At 40.7% G+C, this 24,143-nt stretch overlaps 1 pseudogene, besides 1 other annotated feature; it reads left to right on the top strand.

The window, feature by feature from the left end:
* OR10G1P (olfactory receptor family 10 subfamily G member 1 pseudogene) lies at positions 8,859-10,053 on the top strand (annotated as a pseudogene).
* Positions 21,756-22,955: an enhancer, noted in NCBI's record as "BRD4-independent group 4 enhancer chr14:22056937-22058136 (GRCh37/hg19 assembly coordinates)". NCBI's record gives its function as "activates an origin of replication core promoter dependent on BRD2, P300/CBP, MED14 and CDK7 cofactors, and independent of BRD4, by STARR-seq in HCT116 cells {active_cell/tissue: HCT116}" and the evidence as "EXISTENCE:reporter gene assay evidence [ECO:0000049][PMID:35650434]".

The raw sequence follows: 24,143 nt of genomic DNA, 5'->3' as shown, positions 1-24,143 counted from the left end.
AAAAAAAGTAATGGATAAGCCCCGGGGTCCTTGAATTTATCACAGAAAGAAAGTAGTGGTGGCAGGCCGGCGTGGTGGCTCACGCCTGTAATCCCAGCACTTTGGGAGGCCAAGGCGGGTGGATCACCTGAGATCAGGAGTTCGAGACCAGCCTGGCCAACATGGCAAAACCCTGTCTCTACTAAAAATACAAAAATTAGCTGGGTGTGGTGGCTCATGCCTGTAATCCCAGCACTTTAGGAGGCCAAGGCGGGTGGATCACCTGAGATCAGGAGTTCAAGACCAGCCTGGCCAACATGGCAAAACCCCGTCTCTACTAAAAATACAAAAATTAGCTGGGTGTGGTGGTGCGCACCTGTAGCCCCAGCTACTTGGGAGGCTGAGGCAGGAGAATCGCTTGAACCCGGGAGGCAGAGGTGCAGTGAGCCGAGATCGCACCACTGCACTCAAGCCTGGGTGACAGGGCGAGAGTCTGCCTCAAAAAAAAAAACGACAAAGAAGGTAGTGGCAATAAGAATATTTCCACAATAGCTACATGGAGACTCCTGAAATTTAACTCAAATATTCAAAGCTGCCACTTTATTTTATATCACAAGGTGAAGTGAGACATACCAGCTCCTTATATTCATTCCTCCCAGCTATAGGAAGAATCAGTCTTACATCCCTCTGTCCTTTATACCTCTGCAAAGAAGCAATACTTTTACATATCTTGATGTGCTCTTCTATTTGCAAGTCTATGAATAGCACCTTATTCCTAGCCACTTAAAGCATCAATATGCTGGGAAGGGGGAAAAGGGAGGAAGTGTGGCAAAGAAGATTAGGATAGCAGCGTTGCAGTAGAAATAAGCAAGATAAAAAGAATCATTATTCAGCCTCCCATAGCCAAAATAGGTTTTCATGTCGGCAACAAGCCAATCAGCTTGAAAGGCAGGACTTGTCATGAGAGAAACAAGTTTTCTAAATTAATTTATCTCCCTCTGTAATACATCAAGCCAGGCTTGGTAGACTTGGTCACAGAATTTATATGTTGAAGGCTCCACATAGAATTAAGTGAAAGCAGGAAAACCTCGCCCCTGCAAATTTGGGAGAATCATGAAGGGAAACAGAGGTAGACCAAGGAGGTTAGATGCCAGGGTTCTTTTTTCTTTTCCTTGACTTGAAACCAACCCTTAAGATAAATGGGAGCTTATGGAGTATAAGAAAACCTAAGGTCACCAAAGATAGTAGCATGTTTCTGTGGGCATGACACAGAGAGGCTGCAGATCCTTAAAACAACTCTGGCTCATTGTATAAGGGGACATGACTATACGAATCTAGTTTTCCAGTGCCTGGAAATAAGGAAATCAAAGATGCCTGTATGTTTTGCCAGGGAAGATAGAGAAGCATGCAGAACAATAGTGCAACAGCACAAGGCTAGAGTCAAAGCAAAGTTGCTACAGCATGCAATGACTTCCAGGAAGAACAGGAGCTAGAGATTCCAGCCATGAGTATGCTGTTAAATATTTAAAAACTCGCTATCAGAACAAAAAAAAAACCTGATAGGTAGTATTTGCCCATTTTTATGGTGTAAATCATCCCACTATAGTCAATTTCAAGCTCCAACATGACATCACTACTTATGAGTTTAGTAAGAGATGTGTAGTAGCACACTATTTTATGGTATTTCTACCATAAAGATATGATAGATGTGAACGATCTCATAGATATTAGTAAAACACAGTAAAATACTCAGGAAATGATGAGTTTTTAGTATTGTATTTGATATAATTTATTTAAGTGAAAATGTCTATTAAGTACAAATTTATATAAGTTATATATATATATATATTTTTTTTTTTTGAAACAGGGTCTTGCTTTGTCACTCAGGCTGAGTGCAATGGCATGAACATGGCTCACTGCAGCCTCAATTTCCTGGGCTCAAAGGATCCTCCTGCCCCAATCTCCCATGTAGCTGGGACTACAGGCATGCGTCACCACAACTGGTTAATTTTTTAATTTTTGTAGAGAAAAGGTCTTGATATTTTGGCCAGGCTAGTCTCAAATTTCTGGGCTCAAGCGATCCTTCCACCTCAGACTCCCAAAGAGCTGCGATTGCAGACATGAGCCACCGTGCTAGGCCTACAAATGTGTATTTTAATTGCAGGTTTAGCAAAGAGCTCACAAAACTTCTGAAATTTTAACAATCAGCTATTGCAAGCCAGTACAAACCAACTCCAGCACACGATTGATTCCAACTATGGATAAGAGCAAGCACCCCAAATGTCTAGGCATCACTATCCTTACCTATATGATTCAAGAAGTCTACCAGACCTACCTGCCACACCCCAGCAAAAAAGAACAAAAGTCAGGCTGAGCACGGTGGCTCGCATCTGTAATCCCACCATTTGGGGAGGCTGAGGTGGGAGGACTGCTTGAGGCCAGGAGTTTGAGACCAGCCTGGGCAACAGAGCTAGACGCTGTCTCCATTTTTTTTTTTTTTTTTTTTTTTTTGAGACAGAGACTTGCTCTGTCACCCAGGCTGGAGTGCAATGGCGCGATCTTGGCTCACTGCAACCTCCGCCTACCAGGTTCAAGCAATTCTCCTACCTCCGCCTCCCAAGTAGCTGGGGTTACAGGCACTCGCCACCATGCCTGGCTAATTTTTGTATTTTTAGTAGAGATGAGGTTTCACCATGTTGGCCAGGCTGGTCTCGAACTCCTGATCTCAGGTGATCCACCTGCCTTGGCCTCCCAAAGTACTGGGATTACAGGCATGAGCCACCATGCCCGGCCTTTTTTTTTTTTTAATTAAAATAATTTCCAAAACAAGAAGAAGTATCTAAGGAATGCTCCAACAATCTGAAGCCATCTTTTTCCCCACTGTTATAGAAACAATGGAGTCATCCAAGACTTTTTAGAATCTCTGGCAAATTTGTTTGGCGTTTGTTTGTTTGTGAGACAGGGTCTTGTCATGTTGCTCAGGCTGGTCTCAAATTCCTGGGCTCAAATGATTCTCCCAACTCAGCCTCCTGAATAGCTGGAATTACAGGTGTGAGCCATTGCTGCCCAACCCAATATTTTATAAACTGGAAGTAACCAAATTTAGTCAATTGACCTACATTTAGGGGATTTTTTATTTCTCTCAGTGTCCAGAGAAGTGGGAATATATAAGAAAGATTAGCTTAATTATTAAAAATTCGATACATTTTCTTTTTTTCTTTTTCCATTTTTTTAAACGGAGACACTCTTAAAAATTCAATACATTATCAATTCACTTCTGAGTATAATGTGGGTAAATGTGTGACCCTCGCAACAACTTAAATAAAGAAATCACAGAAATTTGAGGTCATTCAAACAGCTCATGTTGTTCTTCACAGCTCACTTTCTAGATATGCAGAAATGATTCCTGCTTGCCGTCAAAACAAAAAATAACAAGGATCTTGGGAATGTAGTTCTCATCTGGGAAATGTTTCAAGGTAGGATTCCAAGGAGGTGGACAGTTTTCTTCAAATCTCTTGACAGTGTTTTTAAAAACTGGATCAAAGGAGATCCAGCTAATAAGGGTAATCAATTCAAGATCATAAGTAGAAGAGTCACACTCCATAAATAACCAAGTCTCATCGATTCTTAAATCAGTCAATGAGCTGATCCCTTGGAAGATTTTAATTCCATTACAAAACAGAGATTCAGTAATCCATCACCACAAGCCAAAGCGATGTTCTGAAGGATGCTTTCCTTACCTGCTCCACATTCCACCTGAGAATACACCAACTTTCCCCAAGATTTTGCTCCTGTGTCCATGTGAGTCCAAGAAGAAAAGCATTCCTAAGGTTGGGGCAATTCAAAATGGAACAAATACTTAATTCCCAGACTTTAAACATTTTCACAATTTTGTCAAAAACGGTATTTAATCTGTCTCTTTCCCCCATCTTCTTTCTCAACTCACCCTCTACACCCAGAGTTAATTTGGTAGGCAGATAAATTTTGAATTAAATTATTATTTCTCCCAATTAAAGAACATTCTTCTTTGAATTGAGGAAAATAATTTTAAAGAGCTATCGTTTATTTTCTCTCTTTTGGGAGAGATGATAAACAATATAGATGATGTATCAGATTAAGTGTTACTGTGTAAACACAGTAAGAGATGGATTATTTAAACCTGTGTTTCCCAGAACACAGTTAGTTCAACCTACTTGAAAATTGGAAGGTCTTTGTTTCAAGTATCTTTTCTTAAGTAAGCTCTTTTTGTTTTAACTAAGAATACAAGAACACTGGCAGAATAATCAGAGCAAGAAAATATGAGCTCTGCCTCCCCACTGTACCCAAACTCTATTCATTCTCCTTGCTTCAACTCTTTGCTCAGGCTGCCTAATGGCCTAAAAGGGCTGTGGTCAAGTCTGGCCCTAAAAGCAAACAAGAGTGAACAACTCAACGCTGGGTCAGTCCTCATCTCTCAGCCTCAGCGATTCACATCTGCTCTAAATGGGGATGGCACCAACTCAAAAGTGCCCTGTAGGAACCCCAGTTCGGTGCAGACATGCCAGAAAGAAACCAATTTTTCTCTGGGATAATCTGACTTTTTACAAAGTGAAAAATGCTACTGCCTGCAAAGCGTTCAACATGAATTGGCCTCCTAGTAAAGAAGAGCACAATACTTAGCCCATCCTATGGTTTCCTACCTAACCCTATCTCATCCCTTCCTTACCATGCTCTCTCAATGCTAACCTCCTTCATTCCATCCCTAGGACCCCCTCCCTTGAATTTCTGGACCAAAGCCCCTGCCCCTAATTATTTGCTGTTTTAAATGCTGAATCTATCAGTGGTAGATTCTTATTTTCTTTAATCATATATTTTGATATTAAATTACAACCATTTAATAAGATGACCTTAACAATACTAAATACTATTTAAAATAAGAAATTTTAGAATATGTAACAAATTAGCCAAGATGTAGATACTTCAACTTTTTTTTAATTGATACATCTAAGTTTCCTTCACTCCTCAATATAAGAAGCCTAAGACTCTACAGCTTCAAAAGATTAGTAGGCTCATAATAAAATATCACATTTACGTTAGGAAGGAAAACATTTGATCAGTTTTCTTCTTTTGTATTTTTCTAGGCTGGCCCATTTTTCTCCAGAACAAAAAAAAAAAAAAAAAGACTTCTCTCTTCTAAAACCACACTCTCTCTCTTAGAATGACTTGGTCCTTCTGCAAACATGCTCCCTGCCCTACAGAGATTCCTCCTTCTGAAATTCTCCTCTACCCACCTTCCCACAGTCTGCCTTCCTCTGCAACCCCATTACACCACATCAAAATCACCATCTTCTGCTGCCTCTGCCTGGAAAAGGAGCCTTGCCCTTATACTCACCTACTGTGAGCACCACCAGAGTCCCTGTCCTGCCAACCAGGATGCCCAGGGCCAGATAGGAAAGCAGGGTGAGGGTAGAAGGAACCTTCTCTCAGCAGAGGATTTGGGAAAGTGTACCCATATTTATGCACCACAGCCAGGGAAAAACTCAGATTGGTGAAGAAAGATAACATTTTCCTTTTTTTTTTTTTTTCCTGAGACAGAGTCTCTCTCTGTTGCCCAAGCTGCAGTGCAGTGGCACGATCTCGGCTCACTGCAACCTCCACCTCCCACGTTAAAGAGATTCTCCTGCCTCAGCCTCCCAAGTAGCTGGGACTACAGGCACACACCACCATGCCCAGCTAATTTTTTTTTTTTTTTTTTTTTTAGTAGAGATGGGTTTTCACCATGTTAGCCAGGGTGGTATCGATCTCCTGACCTCGTGATCCGCCCACCTCGGCCTTCAAAGTGCTGGGATTACAGGCGTGAGCCACCGTGCCTGGCCGAAGAAAGATAACATTTTTCATTATGCATAAGGATTTATTATGTTCGTTATGTATGAACATCCAAATGGTTGACATTTTAGTATAATTCTAATATGATTTAATTTGTGAAATTTTGATTTTTATAAAAAGTTTTCAAAAATAATTTGGCCAGGCACGGTGGTTCACACCTGTAATCCCAGCACTTTGGGAGGCTGAGGCGGGTGGATCACTTAAGGACAGGAATTCAAAACCAGCCTGGCCAATATGGTGAAACCCCATCTCTACTGAAAATACAAAAATTAGCCAGGTGTGGTGGCACCTGCTTGTAGTCCCAGCTACTGGGGAGGCTGAGGCAGGAGAATCACTTGAACCCAGGAGGCAGAGGTTGCAGTGAGCTGAGATGGTGCCACTGCACTCCAGCCTGGGGGACAGAGGGAGACTCCATTTAAAAAAAAAAATTATTTGTCTAAAGTAGACTCACATTTATAGTATATATCTCCTCTAGTATGTATCTCCTCTCACTGGTAGAATATAAATTTTGCTCATAATTAGTATCATATACAAGTGCTCAAACTTTGCCATTTCTTTCCATTCTAGACAAAGAAAGTACCATCCACCCATCCCAAAAGAAATTATCCTTCCTTCTGAAAATAAGGTAATAAAAATCTAATATACTCTAATAAAGAGATTTGTGGACAAAGTCTGTACTTATTTCTATGGACTGTATAATTAGTATAAATGCATTATTATTAATAATTAGTACAAATGCAGTATTATTAATAATTATATGCACTTAATTCCTTTTAAATAATAATGAAGATAAAATATGTTTGAGTCTGACATTTATAAAAGGGAATTTTTCTAATGGCATCCCTGTGGTTATAACTGTTAATGCTCAGATCTTTGTATAATTAATTTCTTACTAGTTTAATTTTTGTTTCTTAAAGGACACAAAGTAGCAAGTACACAGAATGAACAAGTCTAAAGCTCTAATGTACAACATGAGGACTATAGTTAATAATATTGTATATTTAGGATTTTTTGCTAAATGACTAAATTTTAGCTGCTCTTGCCACCCAATAAAATGGGTAACTACGTGAGATGATGAATATGTTAACTTACTTCACTGTAGTAATCATTTTACTATCTATATATTTCATAACACCATGTTGCATACTTTGAATATATATAATAAAATTTATTTTAAAAAAACAACAAACAACAACAAAAAAGAACTGTAAGATATTTTAGTTTAAGCAATGGGTAAAAATACCTAAAACATTCTTTTTTGAACAAACCATTTATCAAAGACAGTTTTTCTGTTTTGTTTTGTTTCAAGACCTAGTCTCTCTCTGTGGCCCAGGCTGGAGTGCAGTGGCCTGATCTTGGCTCACTGCAACCTCCACCTTTCAGGCTCAGGTGAGTCTCGATTCTCGTGCTTCAGCCTCCTGAGTAGCTGGGATTACAGACATGCACCACCATACCGGGCTAATTTTTGTATTTTTAATAGAGACAAGGTTTTGCCATGTTGGCCAGGGCTGGTCTTGAACTCCTGGCCTCAAGTGATTCGCCTGCCTCAGCCTCCAACAGTGCTGGGATTACAGGTGTGAGCCACTGCGCCCAGCCAAAGGGAGTTTTTAAATAACATCTGGCTTAGATGTTTAATACCTTTGAAGGCTTTTTGAAATCCTTTTTGTTGGAAGACAAACAAAAACTATTAAAATAACAATGTACTAAAAGACAAATCCTATAATAATCAATGCTGTGGCCGGGCTCAGTGGCTCATGCCTGTAATCCCAGTACTCTGGGAGGCTGAGGCAGGTGGATCACCTGAGGTGGGGAGTTCAAGACCAGCCTAACCAACATGGAGAAACCCCGCTTCTACTAAAAATACAAAAATTAGCCAGGCATCGTGGCACATGCCTGTAATCCCAGCTACTCGGGAGGCTGAGGCAGGAGAATTGCTTGAACGTGGGAGGTGGAGGTTGCAGTGAGCTGAGATTGCGCCATTGCGCTCCAGCCTGGGCAACAGGAGCGAAACTTCATCTCAAAAAATAAATAATAATAATAATAATAATCAATGCTGTTATCATCCAAATGAACAAAACTACTAAACTACTTAGGTCAATTAATAAATGTAAATAACATTCCAGAGCAAACAGAAGGTACAAATGGTACCTTAGACTTTGTTTACACTGAGCATAGGCTCACATTGCTTGAAGTGCAGGCCCTGTCCTACAGTCTTGACTATATGGAAAAAGCATGAGAGATGTGATCATGGAGGGAAACATGATACAGGATTAGTAGGAGTTGACACTATCCACTTAGCCAGTCAACCAACAAATATTTATTAACTTATTATTGCCAAGCACCAGAGTAGTTGCTGCAAATACATCAAAGAACAAAATAGAGTGCTCTTTGCTCTGAAGGATCTTAAAATCTAGTAGAAGGAAACGGTAAGTACTTAAGCAAATAGCTCTTATAATAATGTACTGTAATCACCCTTTAATATAAGTTCTTATTTCCCAGAAAATTGTCTTCTAGTGGAGGATAATTCTTTCCAAGGAGGTGACAGAGGAATGAAGACATATTAGATCAATCAGCATACTCCTAAGTCCAGAGGAAGGAGGGTATGGTGATCTGAGAGAACTAAAACAAAGATTATTGAAATATGCAAGAACCAGATCACAAAGTTTCTTGTAGATCTCAGGAGGAGACATTTCAAGGATATTAAGTCATAAACCAACAATAGGAATGATAATTGTGGGGTAATAGTTCCACACTGCTTCATATCACCAAAATCTATTTCTCTGTGGTCCCCTTTGGGGGCGTAGACCTATCATATGCACTTACACTATTATTCAGACACAATCCTGTGCTTGGTTTCTAATACCTGTATGTCGTATCCCCTATTAAAGAGGCATTTCAGGGCACCTAGAGACTAAACAGCTCTGAAGGTTGTTTTGCCAAGCAAACCCAGGTGACTGATGGCAAATGCTTTCTATTTAAAATATAGAAGACTTCTGTTTACCTCTCAAATTCTGATCATTAGACAAAAGCATTCTGTTATCACTCCACACCTGCATTTTCCTTATCAGACTTCACCATTCATCTTAGCAGACTGCAAAAAGACATGGGAAAGACCAAAAACACATCGCTGGACACCGTGGTGAGAGATTTCATTCTTCTGGGTTTGTCTCACCCCCCGAATCTAAGAAGCCTCCTCTTCCTGGTCTTCTTCGTCATTTACATCCTCACTCAGCTGGGGAACCTGCTCATTCTGCTCACCGTGTGGGCTGACCCGAAGCTCCGTGCTCGCCCCATGTACATTCTTCTGGGAGTGCTCTCATTCCTGGACATGTGGCTCTCCTCAGTCATCGTTCCTTGAATTATTTTAAACTTCACTCCTGCCAACAAGGCTATCCCGTTTGGTGGCTGTGTGGCTCAACTGTATTTCTTTCACTTCCTGGGCAGCACCCAGTGCTTCCTCTACACCTTGATGGCCTATGACAGTACCTGGCAATATGTCAGCCCCTGCGCTACCCAGTGCTCATGAATGGGAGGTTATGCACAGTCCTTGTGGCTGGAGCTTGGGTCGCTGGCTCCATGCATGGGTCTATCCAGGCCACCCTGACCTTCCGCCTGCCCTACTGTGGGCCCAATCAGGTAGATTACTTTATCTGTGACATCCCCGCAGTATTGAGACTGGCCTGTGCTGACACAACTGTCAATGAGCTTGTGACCTTTGTGGACATCGGGGTAGTGGCCGCCAGTTGCTTCATGTTAATTCTGCTCTCGTATGCCAACATAGTAAATGCCATCCTGAAGATACGCACCACTGATGGGAGGCGCCGGGCCTTCTCCACCTGTGGCTCCCACCTAATCGTGGTCACAGTCTACTATGTCCCCTGTATTTTCATCTACCTTAGGGCTGGCTCCAAAGGCCCCCTGGATGGGGCAGCAGCTGTGTTTTACACTGTTGTCACTCCATTACTGAACCCCCTCATCTATACACTGAGGAACCAGGAAGTGAAGTCTGCCCTGAAGAGGATAACAGCAGGTCAAGGGACTGAATGAAAATAAGTAACTATCTACGGCCATACCACCCTGAACACGCCCGATCTCGTCTGATCTCAGAACCTAAGCAGGGTCGGGCCTGGTTATTACTTGGGTGGGAAAATAAGTAACTACAGCCACATAACCATCGCTACCACTCTCTTCAGCTACTGCTGCACGTGACAAATGTTCAATAAATAGATGTTAGTTTCAGCGGAAATGAACATAATTCTACTAGAAAGAGGCTTCTGGTGCTATATTCAACCTCAAGAAGTTATCCATAGCTGTTTTACCCTTTTCTGACCCAGCTCTCAAGAGAAAGCACATATGTTGACTCTGAGAAATTGATGTTTTCTTCTAGAAGGAGGGGAAATTATTCCAAGCAAATTTGGGGAAAGCCAACATAATACTGTCCTACATTCATTTGCTTTGCTCCTAACTTCCCAAGCCTCTAGGCATCAGAATTGCTTTGCTCACATCAAGGCAAATCCATCCTTCCAGGTACTTAGTTAGAATCTCTGTGTGGCTCATCTGTGTTTCCTTTCAGCCCCTCACTTTTCTCCATGTAGTAATTCATCAAATCCTGTTCACCCTGCCTCAGAAATGTCTCTCTGGCTTCTTAAGTGGTCTCCTTGTCACCTCCACTTTCCTCCATACAACTACCGGAGTTTTCTTTCTGAAACATACAACTAAATATTTTATTTCCTGTCCCTATAAATATTTACTGGCTTTCCACTGCATATAAATAAAGCCCATACCTATTAGCTTGGAATTCAAAGTTCCCCACAATCTGGTACCAACATACCTCATCTCCCAACATATCTCTACCTCCCTTTTCTCTTCCGGCCCCATTAATTTACCTGTCATTCCTTAAACATTATACTTCCCCGCCTCTGAGCCTTTGCTTGAGTTATTCTCATATCTGAAATAGCCTTCCTCCTCCATATTGGTAAACTGATGTTTTATGCTAACTTTGAGGTCCAAGAAAAATCTTTATTCCTACAAGAAGTTTTCTTATTCTTCCACTCATAAGTTATATCCTCCTCCTTGTATTCCAGTGGGCCTTCAAATTTTATAATAGTACTTTTCTTTGGCTGGACTATATTATAGCTTAGATTGGAGTTTCTAGAGAAAGGAAAGCATTTTTTTTTTCTTTGAGATGGAGTCTTGCTCTGTTTATCACTTTGCATCTCAAAGCGCTGGGATTACAGGTGTGAGCCACCGTGCTCGGCCAGGAAAGTATGTTTTATTGATGTTTATGTTGTAGCCTCCTTTTCCCCAATATCTACTAGTATCCACTTATAGAGGAGATGGCTGGGTGTCCACAAAAATCCATTCTCTCCTTCCCTAGTTAGAAGGCTGTAGCTAGAATGTGGCTGCTCTTCTGTGGATATTTCTCAGTGTCTGTTGCAGCCAGATCTAGTCATATATCTAAGTTTTCCCAAATTGAATATGAGAAGGCTGTACATGTGAGATACTTCCACTTACATATACACATAAGGCCCTCAAAACTGGCACATGACCAGGCACAGTGGCTCACATCTGTAATCCCAGCACTTTGGAAGGTCAAGGCAGGTGGATCACCAGAGGTCAGGAGTTCAAGACCAGCCTGGCCAAAATGGTGAAACCCCATCTCTACTAAAAATATGAAAATTAGCCGGGCGTCGTGGCGCATGCCTGTAATCCCAGCTACTCGGGAGGCTGAGGCAAGAGAATCGTTTGAACCCTGGAGGCAGAAGTTGCAGTGAGCCAAGATCATGCCACTGCTCTCCAGCCTGGGCAACAGAACAAGACTCCATCTCAAAAAAAAAAAAAAAAAAAAACTGGCACATGAATTTTTCCACATTCTTTTTCTGCTCTAAGCTGGAAAAGGCACATGATGGGGACCCACAAGGAGCAACTTCTGAGCAAGTAGAGAACCAACCTGGATCACTCACCTCAGAATTTTAAGTTAGAGGGAAATAAAACTTTAGCTTCTTTAATCCAGTGATTTATTGTTGGGTTACTTTGTTAGAGCAGTTTTTAATCCACTGATTTATTGTCGAGTTACTTTGTTACCTCATCCTAATACTTTACCCAATCAACAATTTTTTAAATTAAAACAGCACCAGGGCTGAGCACGGTGGCTCATGTCTGTAATCCCAACTACTTGAGGCTGGGAGGAGAGCTTGAGGCCAGGAATTCAGGACCAGCCTAGGCAACCAAGCAAGATCCCATCTCTAGAATATGAACAAACAAACAAACAAAAACAGCACCAGGAAAGTCTTTTGAACTGCATCTAAATTGTCCAAAGCATCCAGAAAAACTTTTGGTTAGTTATCACAAGCCAAGTAGACAAAGATCTAGAAGCCAGCTGGTCAGTCATTCAGTAGGTCACTGAGTAAATCATGCAATGTCTTCTGACCAGGCCAGGCGGATGTAAATAACCCTTGTGTTTTCCTCTGTGACCTATCCTGGTCTTACCTGGAGGAAAAAGAAAACATTTCAGAAGACTCAAGTATGGAACAATATAAGAGCAGGGTCAATCGCTCCTTCCAGAAAAATGAAGGACAAGGTAAATGTGTTATTTCATTTGCCAACAGTTTTTTATTCATCTGTATGTGAGAGATCATGTTGGCCTAATTTTAAATAATAGATCAAGTCAAAGACTCAGAAAAAAAAAAAAAAAAAAAAAAAAATATATATATATATATATATATGTATATATCTCTGAGACAACTGGAATAAATATGAACATCAATTTTGTTAAATGCCTTTATGACCAGCCTGGACAATATAGCAAGACCTCATCTCTACTAATTAAAAAGTAAAATAAAATAAAATAGGCCGGGTGCAGTGGCTCACGCCTGTAATCCCAGCACTTTGGGAGGCCGAGGTGGGTGGATCACAAGGTCAGTAGATCGAAACCATCCTGGCTAACACAGTGAAACCCTGTCTCTACTAAAAATACAAAAAAAATAATTAGCCAGGCATGGTGGCAGGTGCCTCTAGTCCCAGTTACTTGGGAGGCTGAGGCAGGAGAATGGCGTGAACCCTGGAGGTGGAGCTTGCAGTGAGCAGAGATTGCACCACTGCACTCCAGCCTGGGTGACAGAGTGAGACCCCCTCTCAAAAAAAAAAAAAAATAGCCAGACATAGTGGTGTACACCTGTAGTCCCTGCAGCTTGAGAGGCCGAGGCAGGAGAATCACTTGAGCCTAGAAGGTGAAGGCTTCCGTGAAACATAATCGTGTCACTACACTCCAGCCTGGGCAACAGAGAGACCCTGTCTTAAAAGAAAAAAAATTATTTATGAGAAAAAACTGTTACGGTGAGATTACAAGATATATCTATATCTTCTCCTATAAGAGAAGCCACTTAAGACAACTTCTGAGTCTACAGTAATTTATTTTTTCTCAAAGCCAATATTTTTCACCAATACATAATAGATATATTTTTTTTCAGGGTTCATGTGGTAGTTTAATACATTCACATAATTTGTAAATATCAAATCAGTGTAATTGAGATGTCCATCAACTTAAATGTTTGTATTTTCTTTATGCCAGAAACATTTGAATTATTATTTTATAGTGACTTTGAAATATACAATAGTTTATGATAAACTATAGTCACACTACTAATCTATCAAACATTAGGTGTTACTTTGTCTACCAAATAGTATATTTGTACCCATTAATCAACCTCTCTTCATCCCCACCTACTTCTTGCCTTCCACCAATCCACTCCCTATATTTATGGGATCCACTTTTTCAGCTCCCACATATGAGTGAGAACATGCAATATTTGTCTTTCTGTGCTTGGCTTATTTCACTTAACATAATGGCCTCCAGTTCCATCCATGCTGCAAATGACAGGATTTGTGTGGGGGGCGGAGGGGAGGCTGAATATTATGTTGTTGTGTATATATGCCACATTTTCATTACCCATTCATCTATTGATGAGCACTTAGGTTGATTCCATATTTTGGCTATTATAAATAGTGCTACAACAAACATGGGAGTGTAGATATTACTTCAATATATTGATTTCCTTTCTTTTGGGTATATATCCAATTAGTGGAACTGCTGGATCATATGAGAATTCTTTTTTTAGTTTTTTGAGGAACCTCCATGCAGTTTTCCATAATGCTTCTACCAATTTACCTTCTCACTAACAATGTACAAGGGTTTCCCTCTCTCCACATTCTTGCCAATATTCATTACTCCCTGTCTTTTTGATAAAAGCATTGTAACTAGGGTGAGATGATATTTCGTTGTAGTTTTGGTTTGCATTTTTCTGAAGATTAAAGTTGTTGCACATTTTTTATATAACTATTGGCCATTTGTGTGTCTTCTTTTGGAAAATATCCATTCAGATCTTTTGCCCACTTTTTAATTGGATTATATGGGGTTTTTTGTTATTGAGTTGTTTGAGCTCCCTATGTATTCTGATTATTTACCCGTTTTCAGATGGATAGATTGCAAATATTTTCTCCCATTCTGTGAATTGTCTCTTCACTTTGTTTATTGTTCCCTTTGCTATCCAGAAGCTTTTCAACTGCTACCATCCCATTTGTGCATTTTTGCTCTGGTTGCCTGTATTATTGAAGTCCTACACAAAAAGTCTTTGTCCAGATCAATGTCCTGGAGCATCACTCAATAACTTCTTGTAGGAGTTTCATAGTTTCAGATCTTACATTTAAGTCTTTTGTCCATTTTTATTTGATTTTTGTACGTGGTGAGAGATAGTGATCCAGCTTCATTCTCCTGCATTTGGTTATCTAGTTTTCCCAGCACCATTTATTAAAGGACTATCCTTTTCCCATCATATGTTCTTGGTGCCTTTGTTGAAAGTGACTTGGCTGTATGCTTGGATTGATATCTGAGTTCCTTATTATGTTCCACTGATCTATATGTCTGTTTTTATGCCAACACTATGATTTGGTTATTATAGCTTTGTAGTATGCTTTGAAGTCTGGTAGTGTGATACCTCCACCTTTGCTCTGTTTCCTCAGGATTACTTTGGCTATTCAGGGTCTTTTGTGGTTCCATATTAATTTTAGAGTTGTTTTTCTATTTCTGTGAAGAATGTCATTGATATTTTGATAGATATTGTATGATATCTGTACATTGCTTTGGGTAATATTGACATTTTAAAAAGTATTAATTCTTGGCCTGGTGCAGTGGCTCACCCCTGTAATCCCAGCACTCTGGAAGGCCAAGGCAGTCGGATCACCTGAGGTCAGAAGTTCAAGACCAGCCTGGCCATAGTGAAACGCTGTCTCTACTAAAAATACAAAAAATTAGCCAGGCGTGGTGGTGCGCACCTGTAATCCCAGCTACTCGGGAGGCTGAGGCAGGAGAATCGCTTGAACCCGAGAAGCAGAGGTTGCAGTGAGCCGAGATCGCACCATTGCACTCCAGCCTGGGCAACAAGAGTGAAACTCCATCTCAAAAAAAAAAAAAATTAATTCTTCTGATCCATGAGCATGGAACATCTTTCCATTTTTGTGTCCTCTTCAATTTCTTTCATCAGTGTTTTATAGTTTTCCTTGTGTAGATCTTTCATTTCTTTGGTTAAATTAATTCCTAAGTATTTTATATTATTTGTAGCTACCATAAATGGGATTGCTTTCTTGATGTCTTTTTCAGATTGTTCACTATTGGTGTAAATAAGTGCTACTAATTTTTGCATGTTGATTTTATATCCTGCAACTTTTCTGAATTTGTTTATCCGTGCTAACAGTTTTTGGTGGAATCTTCAGATTTTTCTAAGTACAAGATCATGTCATCTGCGAACAAGGCTAATTTGCCCTCTTTCTTTCCAATTTGGATGCTCTTTATTTCTCTCTCTTGCCTAATTGCTCCAGCCAGGACTTCCAGTATTACACTGAATAAAAGTGGTGAAAATGGTTGTCCTTATCTTGTTCCAGATCTTAGAGGAAAGACTTTCAATCTTTCCCCATTCAGTAGGTTGTTGACTGTGGGTTTGTCATATACGGCCTTTATTATTTTAAGGTATCTTTTTTCTATACCTAGTTAGTTGAGGGTTTTTATCATAGAGTGATGTTAAATTTTATCTAATTTTTTTAGCATCTATTGAAGTGATCATATGGATGCTGGTTTTGGTTCTGCTAATGGCATACATCGCATTTATTGATTTGTGAGGGAATTGTTTTTGGGTTTTCGTGTCTTTTAGTTTTTGTTTTTTTGTTTTGTTTTGTTTTGTTTTTTTGAGACAGATTCTCCCTCTGTCACACAGGCTGGGGTGCAGTGGTGCGATCTCAGCTCACTGCAACCTCCGCCTCCTGGGATCAAGTGATTCTCCTGCCTCAGCCTCCTAAGTAGCTGGGATTACAGGTGTGTGCCGCCACACCTAGCTAATTTTTGTATTCTTAGTAGAGATAAGGTTTCACCATGGTGGCCAGGCTGGTCTCAAACTCCTGACCTCAAGTGATCCACCCACCCTTGGCCTCCCAAAGGGTTGGGATTACAGGCGTGAGCCACCGCACCCAGCCTAATTTGTGTATTTTGAACCATTCTTGCATCCCTAGATGAATCCCACTTGCTCATGATGAATGATCTCTTTAATTAATTTTTGCATCTATGTCCTTCAGTAATATTAGCCTATAGTTTTCTTCATTTGTTGTATCTTTATCTGGTTTTGGTATCAGGTTAATGCTGGCATTGTAAAATGAGTTGGGGACCGGACACAGTGGCTCACACCTGTGATCCTAGCACTTTGGGAGGCCAAGGTGGGTGCATCACTTGAGGTCAGGAGTTCGAGACCAGCCTGACCAAAATGGTGAAACCCTGCCTCTACTAAAAATACAAAAATTATCCCGGTATGGTGGTGCATGCCTCTAGTCCCAGCTACTCAGGAGGCTGAGACAGGAGAATCACTTGAACCTGAGAGGTAGAGGTTGCAGTGAGCCAATATGGCACCACTGCACTCCAGCCTAGGTGACAGAGCAAAAGATTCCACCTCAAAAAAAAAATTAGTTGGGAAATATTTCTTCCTCTTAAATTTTTTTGAAGAGTTTGAGTACAGGTGGTATTAGTTCTTCTTTAAATGTTTGGTAGAATTCAGCAGTGAAGCATCAGATCCTGGACTTTTCTCTGATGATAAACTTTTTATTATGGTTTCAATCTCATCACTTGTCATTGCTTTGTTGGGGTTTTCTATTTCTATTTTTTTTTTTTTTTTTTGAGACAGAGTTTCGCTCTTGTCACCTAGGCTGGAGTGCAATGGCGTGATCTTGGCTCACTGCAACCTCTGCCTCCCGAGTTCAAGAGATAAGAGATTCTCTTGCCTCAGCCTCCTGAATAGCTGGGATTACAGGCACGCACCACCATGCCCAGCTAATTTTTGTATTTTTAGTAAAGGTGGGGTTTCACCATGTTGGCCAGGATGGTCTCGAACTCCTGACCTCAGGTGATCCGCTTGCCTCAGCCTCCCAAAGCGCTGGGATCACAGGCATGAGCCATCACTCCTGGTCTGAGGTTTTCTTTCTTCATGGTTCAATCTTGGTACGTTGTATGTGTCCAGGAATGTATCCATTTCTTCTAGCTTTTCCAATTTGTCTGCATATAATTATTCATAATAGTCTTTAATGATACTTTGTAGTTCTGTGGTCTCAGTTGTTACATCTCCTTTTTCATTTCTGATTTTATTTACTTGGGTTTTCTCTCCTTTTTTTTCTTAGTTGGTCTAGCTAAAGGTTTGTTAATTTTGTTTATGTTTTCAAAAAAACAAACTTTTATTTTGTTGATCATCTGTGTTGTTGTTTTTCATTTTTTTCTTTTTTTTCTTTTTTTTTTCTTTTTTTTGAGACGGAGTCTCGCTCTGTCGCCCAGGCTGGAGTGCAGTGGCACAATCTCGGCTCACTGCAAGCTCTGCCACCCGGGTTCATGCCATTCTCCTGCCTCAGCCTCCCGAGTAGCTGGGACTACAGGCGCCCGCCACCATGCCCTGCTAATTTTTTGTATTTTTAGTAGAGACAGGGTTTCACTGTGTTAGCCTGGATGGTCTCGATCTCCCGACCTCATGATCCGCCTGCCTCTGCTTCCCAAAGTGCTGGGATTACGGGTGTGAGCCACCGCGCCCGGATTTTTTTCTTTTTAGAGACAGGGTTTTACTTTGTCACCCAGGTTGGAGTACAGTGGCACAATCACAGCCCACTGTAACTTCAAACTCCTGGGCTCAAGGGATCCTCCTGTGTCAGTTTCCCAAGTAGCTAGAATTACAGGTGCATTGCCCCATGCCTGGCTAATATTTTTATTTTATTTTTTGTAGAGACAGGAGTCTAATTATGTTGTGGAGGGTGGTTTCAAATTCTGGCCTCACAGAATCCTCCCACCTCAGCCTCCTAGCACTGGGATTATAAGCATAAGCCACCATACCTAGCCTTGTTTTCTTCATCTCAATCCCATTTAATTCTGCTTTTATATTTTTTCTTCCTATATTAATTTTAGGTTTTGGTTATTCTTGCTTTTCTAGTTCCTTGAGGTGCATCATTAGGTTGTTTATTTGAAATCTTGTTTTCTTTTCTTTTTTGAAACAGGGTCTCACTCTGTCACCCATGCTAGAGTGCAGTGGCACAATCACAGCTCACTGCAGCCTTGATCTTGTGGGCTCAAGCCATCCTATCACCTCAGCCTCTTGGGTAGCTAAGACTACAAGTGCATGCCATTATGCCCAGACAATATTCTTTATTTTTTGTAGAGATGGGGTCTCGCTATGTTGCCCAGGCTGGTATTGAACTCCTGACCTCAAGTAATACTCCTGCCTTGGCCTCCCAAAGTGCTAGGATTACAGGCAAGAGTCACCACCCCCAGCGTATTTGAAGACATTCTACCTTTTTGATAAAGGCATTTATTGCTGCAAACTTCCCTCTTAGTTCTTCTTGTCCTGTATCCCATAGATTTGGGGATTCTGTATTTCTATTTTCATTCGTTTCAAGAAATTTTTTAACTTCTTAATTTTTTCACTGACCCACTGGTCGTTCAGGAGCTTATTGTTTAATTTCCATGTGTTTGTGTATTTTTCAAGATTTCTCTTATTATTGACTTCTTTTCTGACCAATGTGATACTTGATCAATGTGGTACTTGATCAATGTGATACTCGATCAATGTGGTACTTGATCAATGTGATACTCGATATAATTTCTACTTTTTTGAACTTGTTAAGACTTGTTTTGTGGCCTAAGATATGGTCTATTCTGGAGAATGTTCCATGTGCTAACGCAAACAAAAATGTACATCCTGCAGCAGTTGAGTGAAATGTTCTATAAATGTCAGTTAGACATATTCGGTCCAGTGTGTAGCTTAACTCTGATGTTTCTTTGTTGATTTTCTGACTGGATGATCTGTCCATTGCTGACAGCGTGGTGCTGAAGTCCTCTGCTATTATTGTATTGCTGTCTCTCTCTTGCTTCAAATTTATTAATGTTTGTTTATATACTTGGGAATTATCACATTGGATGCATAGATATTTATAATTGTTATATCCTCTTTCTGAATTGACCCCTTAATCATTATATAGTGACCTTTTTACAGTTATGGTGTCTCTTTTTGCAGTTTTTGATTTGTAGTGTATTTATATAGTGTATCTTTTTATAGTTTTTGAGTTGTAGTCTACTTTATCTGACATAAATATAGCTACTCCTCCCCTTTTTTTTTCTAGTTGCATGGAATATCTTTTTCCACCCCTTCACATTCATTCTATGTGTGTCTTTATAAGTTGGGTCTTATTTCTTTGTTTATTAAGCCACTTTATGCCTTTTAATTGAAGAATTGAGTTTGTTTACATTTAGTGCTATTGATATGTAAAAACTTACTACTGCCATTTTGTTGCTCGTTTTTTTGGTTGTTTTATAACTCTTCTCTTCTTCCTTTCTTACTGTCCTCCTTTGATTTATTTTCTCTGGCAGTATGTTTTAAATCATTGCTTTTTATTCTTAATGAATCTATTATACGTTTTTACATAGTGGTTACCATGAGGCTTACAAAAAATATAGATATAACAAGTTATTTTAAGGAGGTGACAATGTATCTTACATCATGAATAGAACAGAAATAAAGAAAAATGACGTCGGGCGCGGTGGCTCACACCTGTAATCCCAGCACTTTGGGAGACCAAAGTGGGTGGATCACGAGGTCTGGAGTTCAAGACCAGCCTGAACAATATGGTGAAACCCTGTCTCTATTAAAAATACAAAAATTAACCAGGCGTGGTGGTGGGAGCCTGTAATCCCAGCTACTCCGGAGGCTGAGGCAGGGAACTGCTTGAACCCGGGAGGCGGAGGTTGCAGTGAGCTGAGATCGTGCCACTGCACTCCAGCCTGTACAACAGAGCGAGACTCTGTCTAAAAAAAAAAAAGTAAAAAAACTTTTAAAAATTTAAAAAAAAGAAATAAAGAAATATGAAAACAGAAACTCTGTACTTCAACTCCATCCCCCCATATTTTGATTTTATGTTGTCTCAATTTACATATTTTTGCTGAATGTGGTGGCTCACGCCTGTAATTCCAACACTTTGGGAGGCCAAGGTGGGTGGACCACTTGAGATCAGGAGTTCGATACCAGCCTGGCCAACATGGTGAAACCCCATCTCTACTAAAAATACAAAAATCAGTTGGGCGTGGCAGCGCATGTCTGTATTCCCAGCTACTCGGAAGTCTGAGGCAGGAGAATCACTTGAACCCAGGAGACGGAGGATGCAGTGAGCCAAGATGGTGCCACTGCACTCCAGCCTGGTGACAGAGCAAGACTCCATCTCAAAAAAAAAAAAGAAAAAGAAAAAGAAAAAAAAACATTTTTATATTGCGTACCTCCTAACAGGTTGCTGCGGCTATTATTGTTTTTTTGTTTTGTTTTGTTTGTTTGCTTTTTGAGATGGAGTCTGATTCGGTCGCCCAGGCTGGAGTGCACTGGTGCAATCTCTGCTCACTGAAAGCTTTGCCTCTCGGATTCAAGCGATTCTCCTGCCTCAGCCTCCCAAAGTAGCTGGGAGTACAGGTGCACGCCCCCACATCTGGCTAATTTTTGTATTTTTATTAGAGATGGGGTTTCACCATGCTGGCCAGGCTGATCTCAAATTCCTGACCTCAGGTGATCCACCCATCTTGACTTTCCACAGTGCTGGGATTACAGGCGTCAGCCACCATGCCTGGCAGCTATTATTGTTTTTAATAGATAGCCTTTTGGGCCTCATACTAGAGTTATGAGTATATTACACACTACAATTACAGTATTAGAGTATTCTAGGTGTGTCCATGTACTTTATTTTACTAATGGGTTTGATACTTTCGAATGTTTTCCTTTTTTTCCTTTTTTTCTTTTTGAGACAGAGTTTTGCTCTTGTTGCCCACGCTGGAGTGCAATGGCACAATCTCAGCTTACTGCAACCTCCACCTTCTGGGGTCAAGTGATTCTCCTGCCTCAGCCTCCTGAGTAGCTGGGATTACAGGCATACACCACCATGCCCAGCTAATTTTATATTGTTTTTAGTAGAGACAGGTCTTCTCCATGTTGGCCAGGCTGGTCTCAAACTCCCGACCTCAGGTAATCTGCCCACCTTGGCCTCCCAAAGTGCTGGGATTACAGGCATGAGCCACCACATCTGGCCTCTAATGTTTTCTTTTTGCACATTAGTGCTTCTTTTTTTCTTTCAAATTGAAGAATTCCCTTTGGCATTTCTTGTGGGCCTCATGGTGATGCATTCTCTCATCTTTTGTTGTCTGGGGAAAGCTTTATCTCATCTTCATATTTGAAGGGTAGCTTTGCTGAATACAGTATTCTCAGATGGCAGGTTTTTTTTTTCTTTCAGCATGTTGAAAATGTTGTCCCTTTCCCTCCTGGCCTATATGGTTTCTGTTGAGAACTTTGTCACCAGATGAATCAGAGTTCTTTTATATGTTATTTGCTTCTTTTCTCTTGATGCTTTTAGGATCTTCTTTTTGTCCTTGACCTTTGAGAGTTTGATTATTATATGCCTTGGGGTGATCTTATTTGATTCAAATCTGTTTGGTTGTTGGAAATAAATTTTTGGTGCCACAAAAGAAATAGCACTCCAACATAAATTTTCTCAGCAAGGCAATTTTACTTCTGTAGAAGGGTGCATCTCATGGATGGAGCAATGGCGAGAGCACACCTGAACAAGGGAGGGGAAGGGGTTCTTATCCCTGATGCAGGTAGCCCCTACTGCTGGGTCATTCCCCTATTGGATAGGGTTGGACCACACAGTCTAAGCTAATTCTGATTGGCTGTTTTAAAGAGCAGGGGTACGAGCCAGGGTGGCAGGGTGAGTAGTTTGGTGGGAAGGATAGTTAGGAACAGGTGATTAAAGGTGACTCAGATCAAGCCGGTGACCAGGGGTGACTCAGGTCAGAGCAGGTGACCAGGGGTGACTCAGGACAGAGCAGGTAACCAGGGGAATAGATGTGAACTACTGATTAGAACTGCTGGGAAAGGTTGTTTACTGAAACTTCGGGCAAGCAGACAAGGAGAATGAGGAAGTTAAACTTCAAAATGGAGAACGAAGAACTGAACATACTGATATACTGATTCTTTGAAGAGAAATTTAGAACTCACTGTATTTAACATGGTGTTCTCTGACCTTGCCATACCTGGATATTTATCTCTTTCTCAAGTTTTGGAATGTTTTCTGTTACTAGTTCTTTGAACAAGCTTTCTACTCTTTGCCCTTGCTCAACTCCCTCTTGAACACCAATAATTCTAAGATTTGGTCTTTTTAACTAACTTTCTGTATCTTGTGGGTGATCTTTCTTCCTTTTCATTTTGCTCCTTTTTCTCCTCTATGTTTTTGCAAATAACCTGCCTTAAAGGTCACTGATGCTTTCTTCTGCTTGATCCATTCCACTGTTGACAGTCTCTAATGAATTTTTCAGTTTAAAAAAAAATATTTCTCAGTTTTAATATATGTTTCTTTTTTTATTATTTTAATCTCTTTGTTAAATTTCTCTGATAAGTTTCTGAGGTCCTTTTCTGTATTGGACTGAGTTTCTTTAAAGCTGTTATTTTGAATTCTTAGCCAGAGAGTTCACATATTGCCATCTTATTAGGGTTAGTCACTGGTTCCTTGTTTTATGAGTTTAAGGAGGTCATGTTCCATGATTGCTGTTGTTTCTTGTGGATGTACATCTATGTCTTTTCACTGAAGGATTAGTTATTTATTCTAGTCTTCTCTGTCTGGCTTGTTTTGGTTTCATTAGATATGTTTGTTTAGAGATTGTTTATAATTTACCTGTTGATTTTCTTGCTTTTTTTTCCCACTAGGCCACTGTGTCCTTTTCAGTACTAAATGGCATCTTAAGTCCAGGTTTGCCTTAGTGAACAATCAGAATGCCCCTTATTCTGAATTGAAGAAGTCTTAAATGAGATATCTCAGTAATGTGGGAAGGCTGGTTAAGGGCACATACCCAGGGGGTGTGGAACAAACCTCAACATGGTGCTGTTGAACAGCCACTCTGATTTGGCCCAGTTACAGAGCACAGTTTCCAGGGCTGGGGATGGTAGTCCCACCTCCTGCCTTTGTCGCTGGCTGTCCTCAGGAATATTTCTCCTTTCAGGCACTCGTGATGTTTCTTATGGAACAGGTCTCCTGCCAGGGAACCCAAGATGGTGGGGAAGCAGGTTGTCCACCTCAATCTCACCTTTTTCAATGTAAATATTGTGAGCCAAGGGAAAATTTTTGTGTACTTGGTGCTGGGCAGATTATGGGGTGGGGCACTGCAGATATGTAAGTCCAATTATCTTACCATCAGCTCAAAATTTTTTCATTTCTCTGTGACCCTGGGAACAGTCTCATCTCATGTTTGAGTTTTGGTTTTTTATGGGGAGGAATGAAGCCAGCTTGCTTGTTTTGTTTTGTTTTGTTTTGTTTTGTTTTGTTTTGTTTTGTTTTGTTTTTGAGACACAGTCTTGCCCTGTCCCCTAGGCCGGAGTGCAATGGCACAATCTCGGCTCACTGGCTCACTGCAACCTCCACCTTCCAGGTTCACACGATTCTCTTGCCTCAGCCTCCTGAGTAGCTGGGATTACAGGCATGCACCACCACACCCAGCTAATTTTTGTATTTTAGTAGAGGCAGGGTTTCACCATGTTGGCCAGGCTGGTCTCGAACTCCTGACCTTGTGATCCACCCGCCTCGGCCTCCCAAAGTGCTGGGATTACAGGTGTAAGCCATCGCGCCCGGCCCCAGCTTGCTTCTATGTCACCCTTTGGAAGCCAGAAATCCCAACTCATAGACCTACAATAATTTATTAAGGTTGG

This window comes from Homo sapiens, chromosome 14 (genome assembly GCF_000001405.40).
Source record: "Homo sapiens chromosome 14, GRCh38.p14 Primary Assembly".
NCBI lineage: Eukaryota > Metazoa > Chordata > Mammalia > Primates > Hominidae > Homo > Homo sapiens.
This window is presented reverse-complemented; position numbering and strand designations above follow the sequence as displayed.